Source organism: Homo sapiens, chromosome 7 (assembly GCF_000001405.40).
Source record: "Homo sapiens chromosome 7, GRCh38.p14 Primary Assembly".
NCBI lineage: Eukaryota > Metazoa > Chordata > Mammalia > Primates > Hominidae > Homo > Homo sapiens.
Window position 1 is genome coordinate 27,073,335 of NC_000007.14, and position 19,389 is coordinate 27,092,723.

Consider the following 19,389-nt stretch of genomic DNA (forward strand, 5'->3'; position numbering starts at 1 on the left):
TGCCAGGTATTGGCTGGAAGAGCATAAACTACTGATTTTCTCTTCCATAAATTAAGGGAAGGAAGAGTTTTAGCAGCACAGCATCAATGTTTTATGTAGTCACATTAAACTATCTGCTACTTGAGTTCATTTTCCACATTCTAGTTTATGACTTACTTTTCAAAAAGCTAGTGTCTTCTTAAAATGTCTCCATAAGCCTCACACCCCTGCTCATGAAGAAAAAAATCTAAATTTCTAAATACACCTATAAATCTATCACCCAAATAGGTGATGAATCAAAGCATCTCCTTTTTGGTCTTTTTTTTTTTTTTTTTTTTTTTGAGACAGAGTCTTGCTCTTTTGCCCAGTCTGGAGTGCAGTGGTGCAATCTCAGCTCACTGCAACCTCCGCCTCCTGGGTTCAAGCGATTCTCCTGTCTCAGCCTCCCGAGTAGCTGGAACTACAGGCATGTGCCATCACGCCCGGATAATTTTTTGCATTTTTAGTAGAGACAGGGTTTCACTGTGTTAGCCAGGATGGTCTCCACCTCCTGACATCGTGATCCGCCCACCTCGGCCTCCCAAAGTGCTAGGATTACAGGCGTGAGCCACCATGCCCAGCCTCCTTTTTAGTCTTTTAAACTTGAAACTGTCATTCAAATAAGCTCATATTTATTTGACTATTGATCAAATGGATATCTTCAATAAAAATATTTTTCCAAGCTACTTTTGTCTTTCAATTAAGAAATGGTTTATGCTATGCCAATAGGATGAGATATTCAGAGGATTAAATCAATAGGCTATAAATTATATGCAAAAAAAAAAAAATCAGGTCACTACCCTGACACAACAGATTTATTATTAAAGTAGGTAACTCCATCGCAATTCACATTAGTTTTTATAAAGTAAGAGACAGGGAGAGATCAATGAGAACTTTGGCTTACTGCTGCTTTTAATGGTTCATTTATAATAGCTACTTATCTCCTATTACTTTAGCTTGCTATAATAATGCCAAGCCAAGAAAAAAGATAATCACCATTATGGGAATATATATTTAATTCAAGTCTGATTGACTGTTCTTTAATCTGATTCATGTATTTGTAGAGTGGCCAGAAGTACTCTAAAAGCATAGTGATTCTTAGGTACACATAAAAACCCCATTATACAGTCCACATCAGGTTTAGAGTAAAAAACATCTGGCAGTTTTGGCTTTATTTTCATAGGCATATTATTATTAGATAAACAACCACATTGCAGTGCACACCCAAAACCCACCAGCTCAAACCCAACTGCTACTATCAACATCAAGGATAACAGCCAAACCTTAAATGGACCTTTCAGCCCCACTATGTTTCCTGGAGACTACTATCTTTGCAAATAAAAAGCAGATTTTTGCTCTACACATGCACATGGATCCACAGTCCATTCCTGGATTCTCTACAATCACCTTGCCATTCTTGATGATTAATTACCCTGATTGCAGTGGAGATTTGATACAGGCTTCCAAAGGCCATCTCAAATGAAGGAGCAATAAGCTCACTGATTTCATTTAAGAAGGTTGAACAAGGGCAGTCCTCACCAACCAATCCCCCATATTTTTTCTTCCAGGGAAACTGCTATTAAATAAATATTAAAGGAGAGGATTAGGGTTACAGAATTAGGGAGGGAAGGCTCCCCAGTACTATCACTATGGTGGAATGGTAATTAAGGACTCAGGTCTTCTTGGCAATATAAGGTGGCTCTACCACTGTTCATCCTTACTGGTTGCCTTGTTAAGTCTCTGCCCAGAAACATAAGGAACCTGACTGATCACTCCTGATTCTCTACATCTCTAAATGACACTATTGGTGGTGTACATGCAATTTCACTCCAAAAGCAGTGGTTACAGTACACTCTCCAAAAAGCTAAAATTAGTAAGACTGGCAATACCAAGTGTTGGCAAGGATGTGGAGTAACTGGAACTCTCATACATTGATGGTGAGAGTATTAAATTGATACAACCGGCTGGGTACAGTGGCTCACGCCTGTAATCCCAGCACTTTGGGATGCCAAGGCAGACGGATCACCTGAGGTCAGGAGTTCAAGACTAGCCTGATTAATATGGTGAAACCCCGTCTCTACTAAAAAAAATACAAAAATTGGCTGGGCGTGGTGGGGGGCGCCTATAGTCCCAGCTACTCAGCAGGCTGAGACAGGAGAATTGCTTGAACCTGGGAGGTGGAGCTTGCAGTGAGCTGAGATCATGCCACGGCACTCTTGCCTGGGTGACAGAGCAAGACTCCATCTCAAAAAAATAATAATAAATAAGTAAATAAATAAATAAACAAATTGGTGCAACCACTTTAGAAAAGTGTTTGGCAGCCTCTATGAAAGCTAAACACATACCTAGCCTATGATCTAACAATTCCACTCTTAGGAACATAGCCAAGAGATATGGATACATATTCTCACCAAAAGACATTAAGAAGAGTGTTCTTATAAGTTTTTTATAAGACTTACTCAAAGCCAGGTGTGGTGGCATGTGTCTGCAGTCCCAGCTACTCAGGAGGCTGAAGTGGAATGATTACTTGAGCCCAGGAGATCAAGGCCACCCTGGGCAACATAGTGAGACTCCATGTCTAAAAAGGAAAAGATTTACTCAAAATAGCCAAAAATACAAAACAACCAAAATGTCACCACAGTAGAAGAGATAAATGAAACATGGTATATTCATACAATGGAATATTACACAGTTATTTTTTTAAAGGACAACTATTATTACTAGCTATAACATGAATAAATCCTACGGATATTACATTAAGAAAATAGACACACAGTATCTACCGTATGAATCCATTTATATGAAATACAAAAATAGGAAAACTAATCCAGCAGTAGAAGTCAGAATAGTGGGGGTGAGGCATGAGGGGTGGGAATTGACTGGAAAAGGACACAAAAGAATCTTCTGGGATGCTAGAAAAGTTCTATATCTTGATCTAAGTAATCAAGATACACATCAGATACACATCACATCAAGTATGATCGAGATACACATCAAATACAGGTATGTGATCAATCTTAAAAGCGTTATAGAAAAAAGACACAAAAGTCTATATGTAGTATGATTTCATTTTGGAAAGGACAAAACTGGAGGGATAGACAATAGGTCAGTGGTTACCAGAAGATTTGGGTAAAAGGAGGGAACTGCAAAGGGTTACAAGCAAACTTTTGGGGATGATAGAAACAGTCTATATTTTGACTGTGGTTGTGGTAATCTGACTCTACATAGTTATCAACATTCATCAAATTATACATTTAAAAGGATGAATCTTATAGCTCAATTATAATTTGTTGCCTAGTTTGAAAATATTCAACAATCTAAACACTTAAGATTAGTATACTTTGGCTGGGCACGGTGGCTCACACCTGTAATCCCAGCACTTTGGGAAGCAGAGGCAGGCGGATCACCTGAGGTCGGGAGTTCGAGACCAGCCTGACCAACATGGAGAAACCCCATCTCTACTAAAAATACAAAAATTAGCCGGGCGTGGTGGCACATGCCTGTAATCCCAGCTACTCGGGAGGCTGAGGCAGGAGAATCACTTGAACCCGGGAGGTGGATGTTGCAGTGAGCCAAGATGGCACCACTGCACTCCAGCCTGGGCAACATGAGTAAAATTCTGTCTCAAAACAAAGATTAGTATACTGTGTGTACTTCCTATACTATGTGTATATTATATTTTAATTTTAAAAAGTTTGAAAAGTAAAGAAAAAAAAAGGAGGTTAAGTGGGTTGTAAGGCATGCATTCCAGTCCAGACTTTGCTACTGGTGTGTTATGTGAAATGCTTTAATTGTTGCTACTGAATAAAAATACAGAAAGTGTTAGGCCTGGAATGGGCCCTGAAACTCACATAATCTCACTTTGATCTACCGAGGAGTAATGATCTCTGAAATATCACACAGCTAGTCAGTTGTGGAGGCAGAAATGAAAACCTAGGACAACTGACTCTCAGACTCTGGTTCAATTCCAGTTCAAGCGAGATTTTTAAAAAGTCAAACTGATCATTTGATAATAAAGAAGTAGCAAATTTTCAACTAATTGTGTAATACTGGGCCCCTGTTTGCACATACAGTCATGTGCCACATAAGATGTTTTGGTCAACAATGGTCGGGCACGGTGGCTCATGCCTGTAATCCCAGCACTTTGGGAGGCCAGGGCGGGTGGATCACCTGAGGTCAGGAGGTCGAGACCAGCCTGGCCAACATGGTGAAACCCCATCTCTACTAAAAATACAAAAATTAGCCAGGCGTGGTGGCAGGCGCCTGTAATCCCTGCTACTCGGGGGGCCGAGGCAGGAGAATCACTTGAACCCGGGAGGAGGAGGTTGCAGTGAGCCGAGATGGCGCCATCGCACTCCAGCCTGGGGGACAAGAGCGAAATTTTGTCTCAAAAAAAAAAAAAGATATTTTGGTCAACAATAGACCACATATACAATGGTGGTCCTATAAGATTATAATGGAGCTGAAAAATTACTATCACCTAGTGATGTCATAGCTGTCAGGATATAATGAAACTAATTTTTAAAAGATAAATTTAGTGGGCTGGGCGCGGTGGCTTGGGCCTGTAATCTCAGAACTTTGGGAGGCTGAGCGGGGCGGATCGCCTGAGCTCAGGAGTTCGAAACCACCCTGGGCAACATGGTGAAACCCCATCTCTACTAAAACACAAAAAATGAGCTGGACATAACGGCACATGCCTGTAGTCCCAGCTACTCAGGAGGCTGAGGCACAAGGAACGCTTGAGCCCGGGAGGTAGAGGTTGCAGACAGCCAAGATCACGTCACTGCACTCCAGCTTGGGCTACAGAGTGAGACTCTATCTCAAAAACATGGCGAAACTCCGTCTCTACTAAAAATACAAAAATTAGCCAGGCGTGGTGGCACACACCTATAATCCCAGCTACTCAGGAGGCTGAGGCAGGAGAATCATTTGAACCCGGGAGGTGGAGGTTGCAGTGAGCCCAGATTGCACCATTGCACTCCAGCCCGGGCAACGAGAGTGAATCTCCGTCTCAAAAAAAAAAAAAACTTTAAAAATAAATAAATTTAGTGTAGACTAAGTGTACAATGGCTTTTGTTTTGTTTTGTTTTGTTTTTTGTTTTTTTTGAGATGGAGTTTTGCCTGTCACCCAGGCTGGAGTGCAGCGGCATGATCTCGGCTCACCGCAACCTCCGCCTCCCGGGTTCAAGTGATTCTCCTGCCTCAGCCTCCTGAGTAGCTGGGATTACAGGTGCCTGCCACCATGACTGGCTAATTTTTGTATTTTTAGTAGAGATGGGGTTTCACCATGTTGGCTAGGCTGGTCTTAAACTCCTGACCTCAGGTGATCCACCCGCCCTGGCCTCCCAAAGTGCTGGGATTACAGCCCTGAGCCACTGCGCCTGGCCAGTGTACAGTGTTTATTAAGTTTACAACAGTGGATAATAATGACCTGGGCCTTCTCATTCACCCACCACTCACTCCTGACTCATCCAGAGCAACTTCCAGTCCTACAAGCTCCATTCATGGTAAGTGTCCTATACAGGCATACCATTTTTATCTTTTATACGTATTTTTATTGTATCTTTTCAACATTTAGATACACAAATACTTACCACTGTATTACAATTGCCTACGGTATTCAGCATAGTAATAAGTTGTACAAGTTTGTAGCCTAGGAACATCTATACCATATAGCCTATGTGTGTACTAGGTTATATACCATCTATATTACTGTAAATACACTCTATGATGTTTGCACAAAGATGAAATAATCTAACGACACATTTATCAGAACATAGTCCTGTCATTAAGCAACATATGACTACATTTGCTTTTCACTTCCCAAATGCCACTGTACTCCAGCCTAGGTGAGAGAGTAAAATCCTGTCTCTAAGAAAAAAAAAATTATTGTTATATATATGAGTTATCCGTGATCATTTGATAATAGCAATTTACCCAAAAATGCAGATTATGACAGCCTCTATTTAGGAAGCTCCAGCTAAATCTTGGCATACCATCTACCCCTTCCTGTCTGGGGCCATCTCCAATGTCACTTAGTCATACAAAGTACCCAAACTGCTCTACCACTGGGAGAGGTATTTTAGGTACAATCCAGATTATATGACTCCTTTATTAACTCCTCTGAAAATTCAGTTCCTCTGAAACAAAGTCAACATTTTTAAGTCCACACATTCACAAACACCCCAGATCTTATCAAATTCTATAATATAAGATGGTGTTCATTGTGCTACATAGTTCCTAACAATATTCTCATAAAATTGCAAACAAGAGCAGTTATGCCATACTTCTCTTGAAAATTGAAACATTAAGGAAGTGCTAAATCAGTGATCTCTAGTTTCTCTTTCTATGCTCTGTAGCTATCTAAATGACCTTTTGACCCCCTTCCCCTCCCATCCCTCACTAAAACCCAAACACTAACTTCTCTCTGACCTCCACCCCCTGCAAAACAGAAAAGAAACTAGTATGTTATTTACACTTTTTGATTGACTGACTAGTTACACTTAAGTTCCTGTTGTTGTTGTTGTTGTTGAGACAGAGTTTCATTCTGTCACCTAGCCTGGAGTGCAGTGGTTCAGTCACTGCTCACTGCAGCCTTGACTTCCCAGCCTCAAGCAATCCTCTTGCCTCAGCCTCCCAAGTAGCTGGGACAATGGGTGTGTACCACTACACTCTGCTAATTTTTTTTTTTTTTTAATTTTTAGTAGAGATGAGGTAACATTCTGCTGCCCAGGCTGGTCTCCAACTTCTGTGCTCAACTAATCCATCCCCCTCAACCTCCCAAAGTGCTAGGATTACAGGCATGAGCCACCGCACCTGGCCCACTTTAGTTCTAGTAAGTTTTAGCAGTATGTTAATTCAAGCAATATTTACATTTTAAGCCATTTTATCCCTTATTGCATAATGAAAGGCCAATTGCTTCTCCATTAAAGAATTCTGACCTTCAATTTAACTTCAGTAAGCAAGTGAGAAATATTTTGGAAACAAGGAAGAACTTGCAACTACACTTTGTATTCCTAGTCTTGGGGAGTCATGAACCACATTAGAATAGCTGAGAGGAGCTGGGCGCGGTAGCTCACGCCTGTAATCCCAGCACTTTGGGAGGCCGAGGCAGGCGGATCATGAGGTCAGGAGATCAAGACCGTCCTGGCTAACATGGTGAAACCCCATCTCTACTAAAAACACAAAAAATTAGCTCGGCGTGGTGGCATGTGCCAGTAGTCCCAGCTACTCAGGAGGCTGAGGCAGGAGAATCTCTTGAACCCGGGAGGCGGAGGTTGCGATGAGCCAAGATCTCGCCACTGGATTCCAGCCTGGGCGACAGAGCAAGACTCTGTCTCAAAAAAACAACAACAACAAAAAGAATAGCTGAGAGGCTATAAAGAAAGAACCCAAAGGATCATTTGCTCATTTACTCACTCATTCGTGCATTCAGTAAACATTTACCAAGGGTCTACCACGTGCCAGGTATTGTACAAGGCAGACAGAATTATAAGATATGGTCTCTATCCTGAAGTAGTTTGCAAGGAGGAGTCGCAAACAGATTAAAAATATTTAAAGCCCAAAAGTGAGAAGCGCTCTGACAAGTAGAAAACACTGAAAAAGAACAGGAGAGATGGGATTCACTTGCCCTGGGGAGAGTCAGAGCAGGTTTCATACGGACAGACCTGTGAGCTCAGCTTGAAGGAATGTGACATGTTGAAAGGCAAAGAAAGGGTTGAAATGGGTTTCCCAAACTTTCAGCCAAATATGAAAGGAGACAGGAGGAGGGGAATGGGTTACCTTTCTTTGCACAGAGGGAATTTAAGGCCAGAGAAGCTAATGACAAGCCCAGTGTCCACCGCAGCCACAAAGAAAAAGGGCTGTGGCAGCAGCTGGGCCCCTTCCTCTTATCTGTAGTCACACAGAGAACACAGTTGATGACAAGCCTTGCCAACATGCCCTTAGCCACTTTAGGGGAGGACAGGTGCAAACATTTTCATATAACTCCATACTCAGCCTACACTCTTTAAAAAGTTATGTTTGTATCAGGATATATCATTGGAACATAAATTTTATCCACATCCTTTAAAATAGTTACAATTTGGTTTTGCCCTGTTTTTGGCCTAAGAATTTCAAAGCCTTTGTTGGTGTTGAATTTAGGATCACAAAGGTTTGTAATCAAACAACGTCCTTGCCTCAAAATAGCTTCCTTCTAGCCAGGGAAGTATTAGAGGGGGTCTTGCCTAGCTATAGCAGATAAAGGCTTATTCCTGGAAGCTTGCTGAAGGCAGAGAAGCTCCTATTCCCTCCTCCCCAAATTCTAGCAAAGCCAGGTGTGTCTCTACAATATCCAGTGCTGACCTCTTTTGCACAATTTCTTGGCCTAAGCAACTTTCTTAGGTCTTTAACCCTCCCTTGCCCCAAAATGTGCAGATGAATAGGTTGTCATAAAGCATATTTGATGTTATTTTAGTCAGTGTCTAATATTTTTGTATCACAACCGTATTTCTTAGAGTTCTAAAATATAGCCCTCAAGGCTGGGCACTGTGGCTCACGCCTGTAATCCTAGCACTTTGGGACACCAAGGTGGATGGATCACCTGAGGTCAGGAGTTCAAGACCAGCCTGGCCAACATGGCAAAACCCTCTCTCTACTAAAAATACAAAAATTAGCCAGGCGTGGTGGCACACGCCTATAATCCCAGCTACTTGGGAGGCTGAGGCAGGAGAATCACTTGAACCTGGGAGGCAGAGGTTGCAGTGAGCCAAGATCACACCACTGCATTCCAGCCTAGGCAACAAGAGTGAAACTCTGTCACAAAAAACAAAAACAAAAACAAAAACAAAATAGCCCTCAAACCCCTACATTATTCCAAACTCTGACAATGTTAACAATGAATATCCATTCTTTATTCTTTTTAAAAATATATTCATTCTTTCAACAGCATTTATCCAACAGTGAGGCAACGGGTTAGTTATCCCCTCAATGCCCATTGTCTCCTTCTTCCACTTTAGCTGGGCTCATGGCCACCCACCCACAGATGGTATTTCCTAGTATCCTAGGTGTGGCCACATGACTACATTTATCAGAATGGAATGTCAGTGAAATCTCCAACTATATTGTAAATTCCTGATGATCAGAAACCCTGTCTAACATATATTTTATTTCCAACAGTACCCATCCAGTATTATGTTAATAAATGTTTGTTGATCTAGCTTTTTATCTTGACTAATGTTTCATCTATACTATATATTTTGCATCAGAAATAAATTTTATGATTCTAGAAACATGAAAAAGAATAGAATGTAAATGGAAGTAATGTGTACAACTTACAAATCATTTACTTCACAGGAAATTGCTTGCTCTCCATTTTTGCTCTACTCCTCTTCCTAAAAACTGAAATAGGGATGTGGAGCTGACACAGCTTCAACCATGTAGAAAAGACTAGGGAATGTCAGAGCAGCACAGTGAAAGAAACAGATTCTGAATGACTTCACATGCTGAGGTACCCCACCAGTGTAGATGCTTACATTCCTCTAACATGTTACATACAAGAGAATTAAACTTCAGCCATATTTAAGCCACTTAATTTTTTGGTTTCTTTGTCACAGTAGCTTAGCTGGACCCTAGTTAATATAAACATTTATTCAATGTCTTTTGAGCGTTTACTATGTGACAAGAACTGTCTTCTGGGTAAACATAAAGTGGCGAATAAGCGGAAAAGCTCCCAGAACACAGGTTGCTTATAGTCTAGAACAGGGGTGTCCAATCTTTTGGCTTCCTGGGGTCACATTGGAAGAAGAAGAATTGTCTTGGGCCACACATAAAATACACTAACACTAATGATACCTGATGAGCTAAAAATATATATCACAAAAAAAACTCATAATGTTTTAAGAAAGTTTACAAATTTGTATTGGGCCACATTCAAAGCCATCCTGTGCTACATGCAGCCCATAGGCCATGGGTTAGACAAGCTTGCTCTAGAAAGTGATATTAACAAAAAATGTAAAACTAAATTTTTAAACTGCGCTAAGTATGAAAAGGAAACAAAGAGAATGCTGAAGTAGAATATAACAGAGAAGGATACATTCTGAGTAGAATAGTCCACTAAGGCCTCCCTGAGGAAGCATCATTTAGCTAAGGCCTCAAGGTCATAGAAAGAAATGGAGAGAGGGAGTCCATTCTAGCATGCAAAGAAAGACCCAAGGCAAGAAAGAGCTTGGCTCTTTGAATCAAGCTCAACCACTCACCTAACACAATTATAGATGCTCAATCAGGGTCTCCACAGATGCCTTCATGACATTCTCAAATAAAGAAAGAAAGTAGAGAGAGAGAAGAGAAGAAAGAGGAAAGGTAAGAAAAAAAAAGAAATTTCTAGTCAATCAAACCAGTTAGGGAAAAGAGTAGAGAGTGTTATTAAGAATGAGCGCTTGGGAGTCAGGCAGCTGAGTTTAAAAGTGGACTTTGACATTTCACAGCTGGGTGACCTCTCATCTTTGGTTTCCTCTTCTGTAAAATGTGGGTTATAATGGCACCTACACCTCATAAGGTTGTGAAGAGGATTTAAATGAGTCAATCCATGTGAAGTACTTAGCACAGTGCCCAGCACAATGTAAGTGATCAACAAGTGTCAACTACTGCTATACATATAGGAGCTTCAGAAGAATAAATACTCAAGCTGATACGATGGGAAGGCTTTAAAATAAAATAGAAAATAAATTATGCTCTCCAACTCAGCTGGATAAATTTGTGTTTTCTTGGTGGGTAAAGAAAAGGGCCATCATTCACTCTTTTTATATATTTGTATAGGTTTAACAAGGCAAGAGAGTATGCATCAAAATAAACCAAAGCTAGGCAAAGAGAAAAAATGGAATATGAAGAAGCTGGCTTCTGGTCCACCTTCTATAGATACTTACTAAATCATATAGTCCAATTTTCCTCCCATAATTCCAGACCACAGTCCACAGGCCCCAAAACATTTCAAAGCTCAAATTTGGTATATTATATGGTACACATATCAGGTTTCTTAGTTGTAAGCAACAGCAACTGACTATGGGTGTTTTAATTGGAACAGGAACAGATGGGTAGCTCAGAACATTGCTACAAAGACTGGGAATCAAGCTTGAAAAATGAAAAGCGTGGCAGTCAGATCTAGGGCTAACTGTTACCACAAAGCCAGGCTGGTGAGTAGACAACTGCTTCTGCCCCAAACCTCATGCTGTCACCTGCACTGTCAAGCCACTAGACCTGGTCACTACTGGATGCCATCTTTAGCTCCTTTATCATGGCTGTGCTAGAAATAGGTGACTCTGCTGAGAAAGAGAGGATATGGACTTCTCAGACTTATAATGAAAAATTATCTAAACATAAAAGGTTCAGACAGTAGCAAACCTCATCAAAAAAGAAAAAAGAAGCCGGGGGCAGTGGCTCATGCCTGTAATCCCAGCACTTTGGGAGGCTGAGGTGGGTGGGTTGCCTGAGATCAGGAGTTCAAGACCATCCTGGCCAACATGGTGAAACCCCATCTCTACCAAAAATACAAAAATTAGCCAGGCGTGGTGGTGGACTTCTGTAATCCCAGCTACTCAGGAGGCTGAGACAGGAGAATCACTTGAACCCAGGGAGCGAGGTTGCAGTGAGCCAAGATCAGGCCATTGCACTCCAGCCTGGGTGACGAGAAACTCCATCTCAAAAAAATAAAAATGAACTTTATTCTATGTGTGTATATAGTCATATATGTTTTATTGTACAAAACTAAGATCATATTGTATACACAGGTTGAGTATTACATATCTGAGATGCTTGGGACAAAAGTGTTTCAGATTTCAGATTTTTTTAGATTTTGGAACATTTGCATATGCCTAACGAGATATCTTGAGGATGGAACCCACATCTAAACACGAAATTCATTTATGTTTCATGTACATATTATACACATAAGCCTAAAGGTAATTTTGTGCAATATTTTAAATAACTTTTGTGTGAAACAAAGTTTTTGTTAAGTACTTACATATGGAATTTTCCACTTGTGGTGCCATGTTGACACAAAAAGTTCAAGATTTGGCAGTATTTCAGATTTTGGATTTTTGGATTAGGGATGCTCCATCTGTATAGATTTTAACAACCTAACACCAGGCTTCTAAAATATAAATGTATTTTAAATATGAAGTTAAATTTAGGATTAGTTTTAATTACATTTCTACTTTTGCAGTCCTAAAATATGAGATTTCAACATGTGATAACTGAATGAAATGCATGGGCTGCAAATTCCAACTTTGCTAATCACTCACTGTGTAATGGTGAGAAACTTACAGAACTTCCCTAAGTCTCAGTTTCTCCATGTGTAAATGGGAATAATAAAACCCATATAATAAGGTTGCTGTGAGGAAAAACAAGATAATTCATATAAAACCCTTAGCTCAGCATCTAGTGCCAAAAAAAAGTCTTCAGTAAATGTTAACATAAAAATATAAGTTGTCATAATTTTCTGAAGTCTAGATTTTTCTCATAGAAAGAGTACTTTTTTTTTTTTTGAGACAGGGTCTCACTCTGTTGCCCAGGCTGGAGTGCAGTGGCACAATCACAGCTCACTGCAGCCTTGATCACCAGGCTCAGGTGATTCTCCCACCTAAGCCTCCTGGGTAGCTGGGACTACAGGCATGTGCCACCACATCCAGCTAATTTTCTGTATTTTTTGTAGAGACAGGGTTTCTCCATGTTGCCCAAACTGGTCTTGAACTCCTGAGGTCAAGTGATCCTCCTGCCTTGGCCTCCCAAAGTGCTGTGATTATAGGCATGAGCCACCGTGCCCCCAACAGGGAAGAGTATATTTTATGTAAGATAATGAACTGCAAGTAAAGTCTTTATGGTTCATCCACGTAGCCAGAATGCCCTCAATTTCCAAGATTCTTGAATCAAACAGTTGACTAGGGAGCTAACATGCCATCTGAGCAGCTTGGGCAGGGCAATTATAAAGCTTGCTCTCTTGATTTTTTTGTCTGTCTCGTCTGGCAAATCATGTAAGGAATTTGTGAAATGGAAGACATAAAATAGATCAACCAGTTTCTCTTTACCCATTGGGCAGGAGAGATCTAAGCTGTTACCCTTCCTATAGGGTTCATGAAAGTAAACAGGAAGGAAAAAACCCTCTGGCCAAATATCTGCTTATTCAAACTTGCTTATTTTTAATAACTTTAAGTTCTTCAATATTTAATGATAACTATAATTAGCATGCTTAATATAGTAATTAATTATTAATGTTATTAATATATCTAGCCTGGAATTAATTTTTGCCTGTTTTATTAAATACGTACTTAAAGTACATATTAAAGATATAACTAAATTTTTTTTCTCACCATTATTGCTGCTAACACCCTTCTGGGCCTCAGTTTCTTCACCTGTACCATGGAGAAGCCAGATTAGATTATTTTAAAAGTCTCTTATTTGATTCTGTGATTGTAGATATAATTAATTAATGTCAGTAATTTTTTTTTTTTTTTTTTTGAGTGGGAGTTTTGCTCTTGTTTCCCAGGCGGGAGTGCAATGGCATGGTCTCAGCTCACTGCAACCTCTGCCTCTCAGGTTCAAGCGATTCTCCTGCCTCACCCTCCCGAGGAGCTGGAATTACAGGCGCCTGCCACCACGTACAGCTAATTTTTGTATTTTTAGTAGAGACAAGGATTCACCATGTTGGCCAAGCTGGTCTTGAACTTCTGACCTCAGGAAATCTGCCCGCCTCGGCCTCCCAAAGTGCTGGGATTAGAAGTGTGAACCACCGCGCCCGGCCAATGTCAGTAATTTCTAATGTCGATAATTATCCCAAGTCCTTGTTCACTTATGCAAGTTTAAAAAAAAAGCTGGCGGGGGGCGGGAGGCTGGGTGCAGTGGCTCATGCCTGTAATCCCAGCACTTTGGGAGGCCAAGGCAGGCGGATCACTTGAGGTCAGGAGTTTGAGACCAGCCTGGCCAATATGGTGGAACCCCGTCTCTACTAAAAATACAAAAATTAGCCAGGCGTGGTGGCAGGTGCATGTAATCCCAGCTACTCGGGAGGCTGAGGCAGGAGAATCGCTAGAACCCGGGAGGCAGAGGTTGCAGTGAGCCGAGAACGCGCCACTGCACTCCAGCCTGGGCGACAGACCTAGACTCCGTCTCAAAAGAAAAAAAAAAGTGCTATTGTTAGGAGGGGGAAGCCGAAAGAGTAGGAAGCAGTACTTGGAAACTTTCTAGAAAGAAGTGAGACGAGGCAAGGTGTTAAGGCATTCGACTCAGCAATTGGAGTAGCAGAAGGCATCTGATCTGAGAGGAAAGGCAAGGATGCGTCCCTGAACATCCAATATTCAGAAACCCGCACCGCTACTGTTGAAAACAACTCAATTGAACTAGGAGGAGAATGAATATGTTACTTAATTAAGTACATTCTGAAGATATCTGGGGCATGGGGCGGACAGGGAATCAAATCTCCTTTCCCCTTTCAAATCTTAGAGACAGACGAGGGGCGAGGCCTCTGACCTGGGTTTCCTTCTCTGAGGAAGTGTTGGGTCCCGAAGCCCTCTTCGGGAGAGTCAGGTGGCGGCCCGGGGCAGCTCAGACCGCGCCTCAGGAGCCCTCGAAGCTGGGCGACGCTGGCAGAAAGAAACGCGAGGCCTCATTGTCCCCCGAGACAAAGCGGAGCTCTTCGCAGCCTCGGGGACCTGTCCGGACTCACTTTCCCTTCCCTCCGAAACCACCCACCGACGCGGGCCGGGAAACGCTCAGGCCCAAGATGGGCTCTGAGCGCGAACCAGGGAAGAGCCCGGATGCTGCTCCTTTCCCGCCCCGGACCGGCGCAGGTCCATCCAGAGGCGCGAAGCCTGCAGGCCAGGGAAGAGCCCGGATGCTGCTCCCTTCGTGCTCTGCCTGGGGCCCAGGAAGCAGGAGAAACGGAACGGCGACGTTGGGTCAAGAACTCAGAGGGTGAAGGCTGGGAAGCCAAGGAAGGAAAGCCGTCCTGACCTCGGCGTCGGGGCTCCTCTACAACCCCGCAGGGTCGCGAAGGTCCTGCGGCATCTCCTCTCGCAGTTGCCGCAGCCTAGCCGGCCGGGGGCAGGCGCTGGTGCCCCCCGCCCGCTCCCCGCAGCCCCAGCAGAGCCGGAGTTCCCGCGGCCGCCGCTGCCCGAGCGACTCGATCGCCCGAGCCGACCTCTTCCCAAGCCTTGGACAGCTGACCCCTGCGCATCCTAAAGGAAAGACCCCATCTGTTCCTCAGAATGGGAAAATTCCCGTGCATACTTTGCCAGAACCGTGTTGCTGATATTTCGGGGGTTGGGGTTACCATTTTAAATCGTGGCTTTCTGCATTCTTGTTACGGTTCTGTGGCGACTTAGAACGAAGTGGGTCGTAAATCGTAAAATTGTCCAACGCGGCTAAAACGTGTCCCAGTTTGAAAAGAAAAGTCGCTCAATAATTTTTCTTTTATTTTCTGTTGCAAGCATTTGTGTATTTTTTCCCAACCGATTAACCACACAAGCCTAAATGAAAATATAAAAAATCTGATTTCTATAGATTAACCTTGTGATTAGACGTTTTACCAACAGGTTTTTAATACAAGAGTAAAATGTAATGGGCTGATTAAAAATAGAGACACGTGTTTTAGTTGTGTTTGAACATGTTGCAAAAAGAGACATTGGTCTTTTCATTTTTTCCAGTAAACTCAAAATGCAGTCATTTAAGGATGTTTTGCAGGATATGATGAGGGTTTAGAGTTGCCTAAGGAAAAAAAAAAAAGGTGTTTAGAGGCTAGCGCCTACTGAACATACTTGTTTAATTGATATTTTGTTTGTAGTTCTGCTATCAAAGGTCAGCTAGCTGTATTTGATGGCTGGTGCTATTAAAAATAAGGCACTAAAACGCTGAGGATTCCAGCTCACCTCTTCAAACACTGACAACCATTGATGTCCCTTTGGGCATCAGGTTCTGCTGAGATCAGTAGGACCCCATGGGGATGAGATGGAGGAGAATGTGGAAAGTTGTATTGCAAGGAGACTTTATGTTAATAGTTTGGGCTTGGGTGTGTGTGTGTGTGTTAGGTACATGAGTGAGTCTTGGAAAAAATTAAGATATGTGAGTCAGAACAATTTAGAAGGTATGCTGCGCCACAAACTAGCCAGAAAAAGCAAACACATTTTTAAAAGGTTCAGAGTTAGAACCCCTCCTGGAATGTCCCTTGCATCTTGAAGCCCCTTCTAGATGATACTTCTTGACAATTTAATGGAGGTCGAATTTGTGTGTAGGCAACTCCTCTTTCATTTATTCTTTCCCATCCAAGTTTAAAAACAAAACAGAAATATATGTGTGTGTGTTGAATTTTACTTGCCCTCCAGATTTTTATTTTTATATTTTAAGAACATATGTATTTAAAGGTAAGTAGCACATTTTATTATTCAAACAAGATGGCAGAAGCATTCAACTCAGAGGTTGTTTCAAAGATTCGGTATTCCTAATGGCCTCAAAGTCAAGGACTTGACTGAGTGGGTGGCCAGTAAAGCAGAAATGGAAAAATAAATCATATCTAGTCTGAAACAAATTACATGGAATAAATCAGGGAGGGACAAAATTGAATCAGGACTTTAGAATTTAAAAGTGCACTGGACTCAGGTTCTAAGCTGCCCTGTTTTTTTATTTAGGAAGTAAGAGTATGGATACTGACTGTGCTCTCAGTCAAACCAATCCACCTCTGGGTGCCTTTTTCTGATCCATAGAGTGAGAGATTAGGGATGTGGGTCCCATTCAATTCTGGTCATTTAGGCACAAGGAGTCCTAAGGCAGAATTTTTGTGTGTTCTCACAAATGCAGGCACAAAGGGGACTTATCTAAGGCAGAGGGTCACCAAAGTTGACCAGTGACTAGCTTATCCCAATAGTGGCATGCTAACTAAAGGGTGTTCTTGTATGTACTGAAAAAGCCATAGCGTTTCTTTTACAGCCCCATCCAATATAAAGAAAGATGTTGTTCATGCACTAATTTCAGTATTTTTAAGCACAGGAGTTGCCTGTCTCTCAAAATAAATTAAAGCCTGAAATGCCTAGAGCTTCTGCTTTAAGAATGATTATTCTTAAGGAGGAAACACAAACAGCAGTGACCATTTTTCACAGACGTGCTCAGCCATCAGGAAAGCTTAATAAATCCCTATTTAGTATGCATTTATGCAGTGATTACATGAACTTTGACCTCTGAAGAGCTGTAGCAATTAGCTTCAGTGTCTAGCATCTTCTACTCACCATTCCCCACTGGCTTCCTTGTGTCTTCCTTTTTCATCTCTCAATACTTCATGCATTAAGAAGGCGTAAAATTTAAAAGTTGACTTTCCACCTGAGGTATTTGCTTCTGCGCAAGCCAATTCTCCCTCCCCCCTTTCCCACTCAACAGCCATCTCAGATGGATATTGGGGCTCTGATTGTCAATATTACTCAAACACAAATGGATTTCAATTCAATCTTGCCCTGTACTTTCACAAAGATAAACTCTAATGGCCCAAAGAGCTTCATTTCATAGCTTGTGGCATCTGAAATAAATCAGATATCTTCTGTCAGACTAATTTAACATTTTAACAATATTTGATGTGATTTATTTAAAGTCAAATGAAACTGAATGGATTGGCAGAAAACTAGAGGAGGGGGCAGGAGAAGGGCAGCTGGAAGCTTCCAAAAAACAAAAAACAAAAAAGAAAAAAAGGAAGAAAAGAAAAGAACCAAGAGGGGAGAGGAAAGTGTTTTAAGTTTCTAGTAAACATTGTTTAGCAAAAGAATAATAGGAAAGTTGCCCCTTTTCCAAAGAGGGATGGAACTATAATTGTTGCCTTTAGTTGAGAGCTCAGATAAACTGCTGGGACTCATTCTAAAGTGACCCATCACTGCATTCATCTCTTCTTGAACTTTCGGTGAACCTGAGATTAAACAGGGGTGAGCAGCTAAGCAGTTTGTTGTTAGCAGCCTTTTCAACAACCCTTTCAGACTGAGTAAATATTGATCGGTTTGAATCTGATTGCCCCAGAGGAAAACACCACCGCATTTGAATAGCCTCCAAAAGTAAACTTTAAAAGGTGAAACCCAGAGCAGACTTCAGAGCCAAAGCAAGACCTCAACTCAGCCTAGTTTGGGAACACTCTGTATTTGGGGAGTACTGTGGATAAATGTAGAGGAAGTGAGGAAAAAAACATTGGAAAACTAGAATTTTGTATCGCAGTTATCCCAGGTGCCTAACTGAGACCCTTGTTTCCTTTGTAAATGTATCAATAAAATGTTATTTTCAGTTTTCCCACTCTGTGTTGTTTCAGTTACCATTGCTGTCATTTTTCAAGTAGCTAACTGTGCTCCTTAGAGACCAAAGCAGAGAGACCTTGAAATAGGATGTGTTAAGCGCCTTTGATTTAATCGATTGAGACAGCTAAAAAGATACAAATGTTTTCCTTGTTGAAAGGTGTATTAATGTTTCCTAAATGCATTGCTTGTTAACTGATTTATTCCATGACCTAGAGAAAGCTAGAGATGGTTAGCCATAATTTATTGTTCTCTCTTGCTGCTACATTAAAACCAGCATCTTAAAGACTGGAATCTCTGGGATTCCAGTGGATCTCGCCCTGCTTTTAGATATTGAAATGGAGTCAATGGCATGCAAATGACACTTTAACACATTAAAGTATTTGGAAGCCAGCCATCTGTTTTGCTGTGTGGCCCTACACTAATAAACAAAAGATACAGTATAAGGCCAGGCAGGAAATGAAAGAAAGGGTTGACCGTCTTTGAAGTTCTTCTCCATCCACTTGAGTCTTTTACAGGCAACCTCAGAACCCAGCAGCTGAGGGGAGGGCACCCGGTGCCCTTGATATGGCCGCAGCAACTGCACCGCAAAGTTCAGCCTTCTCTTCTTTGACAGGGAAGTGCAGGAATTCTCACAAGTGCCCTAGACGGCCTGCAAATTCCAAATTTTTGTAGGGTTTTTCTCCTCCAGCCCGTCCTTTGTAAAACACCCTTTGGGGAGGAAGGAAGTCATCTGTCTGTGTTTGTTTTCAATGCTGTAAATTTTCTGCTGTACTGTTGGGCTAAATAAAATGCCTCCAAAAATGTGTGAAAGTAAAGGAAAGCAATAAAGAGGCCTGGGAGGAGAGCCACTTTGAACTCTATCATTTGCTGGCTTCCTCTTTTGAGAGCAGATACATACCTTGGTCAGAAACAACTTGGATATTGAAAGACTTCAGGGTAGCTTCCACAAGTTCACCTGGAAGTACCTGTGGAGCCCAGAGAAGAAAATGACTTTTTTTTTCTGGGTTATGTGGCATGGAATTAGAACTGTGGATCCTTTACAGCCATGACGGCTATGAAATCAAAGCTGAGTCTGAAGGGAATAAGA

At 41.7% G+C, this 19,389-nt stretch overlaps 1 annotated feature.

Annotated features, from left to right (window-relative positions):
• Positions 18,254-19,164: an enhancer, noted in NCBI's record as "OCT4-NANOG hESC enhancer chr7:27131207-27132117 (GRCh37/hg19 assembly coordinates)". NCBI's record gives its function as "activates a minimal SCP1, AML or CMV promoter by ChIP-STARR-seq in naive H9 embryonic stem cells {active_cell/tissue: H9 hESC(naive)}" and the evidence as "EXISTENCE:reporter gene assay evidence [ECO:0000049][PMID:30033119]".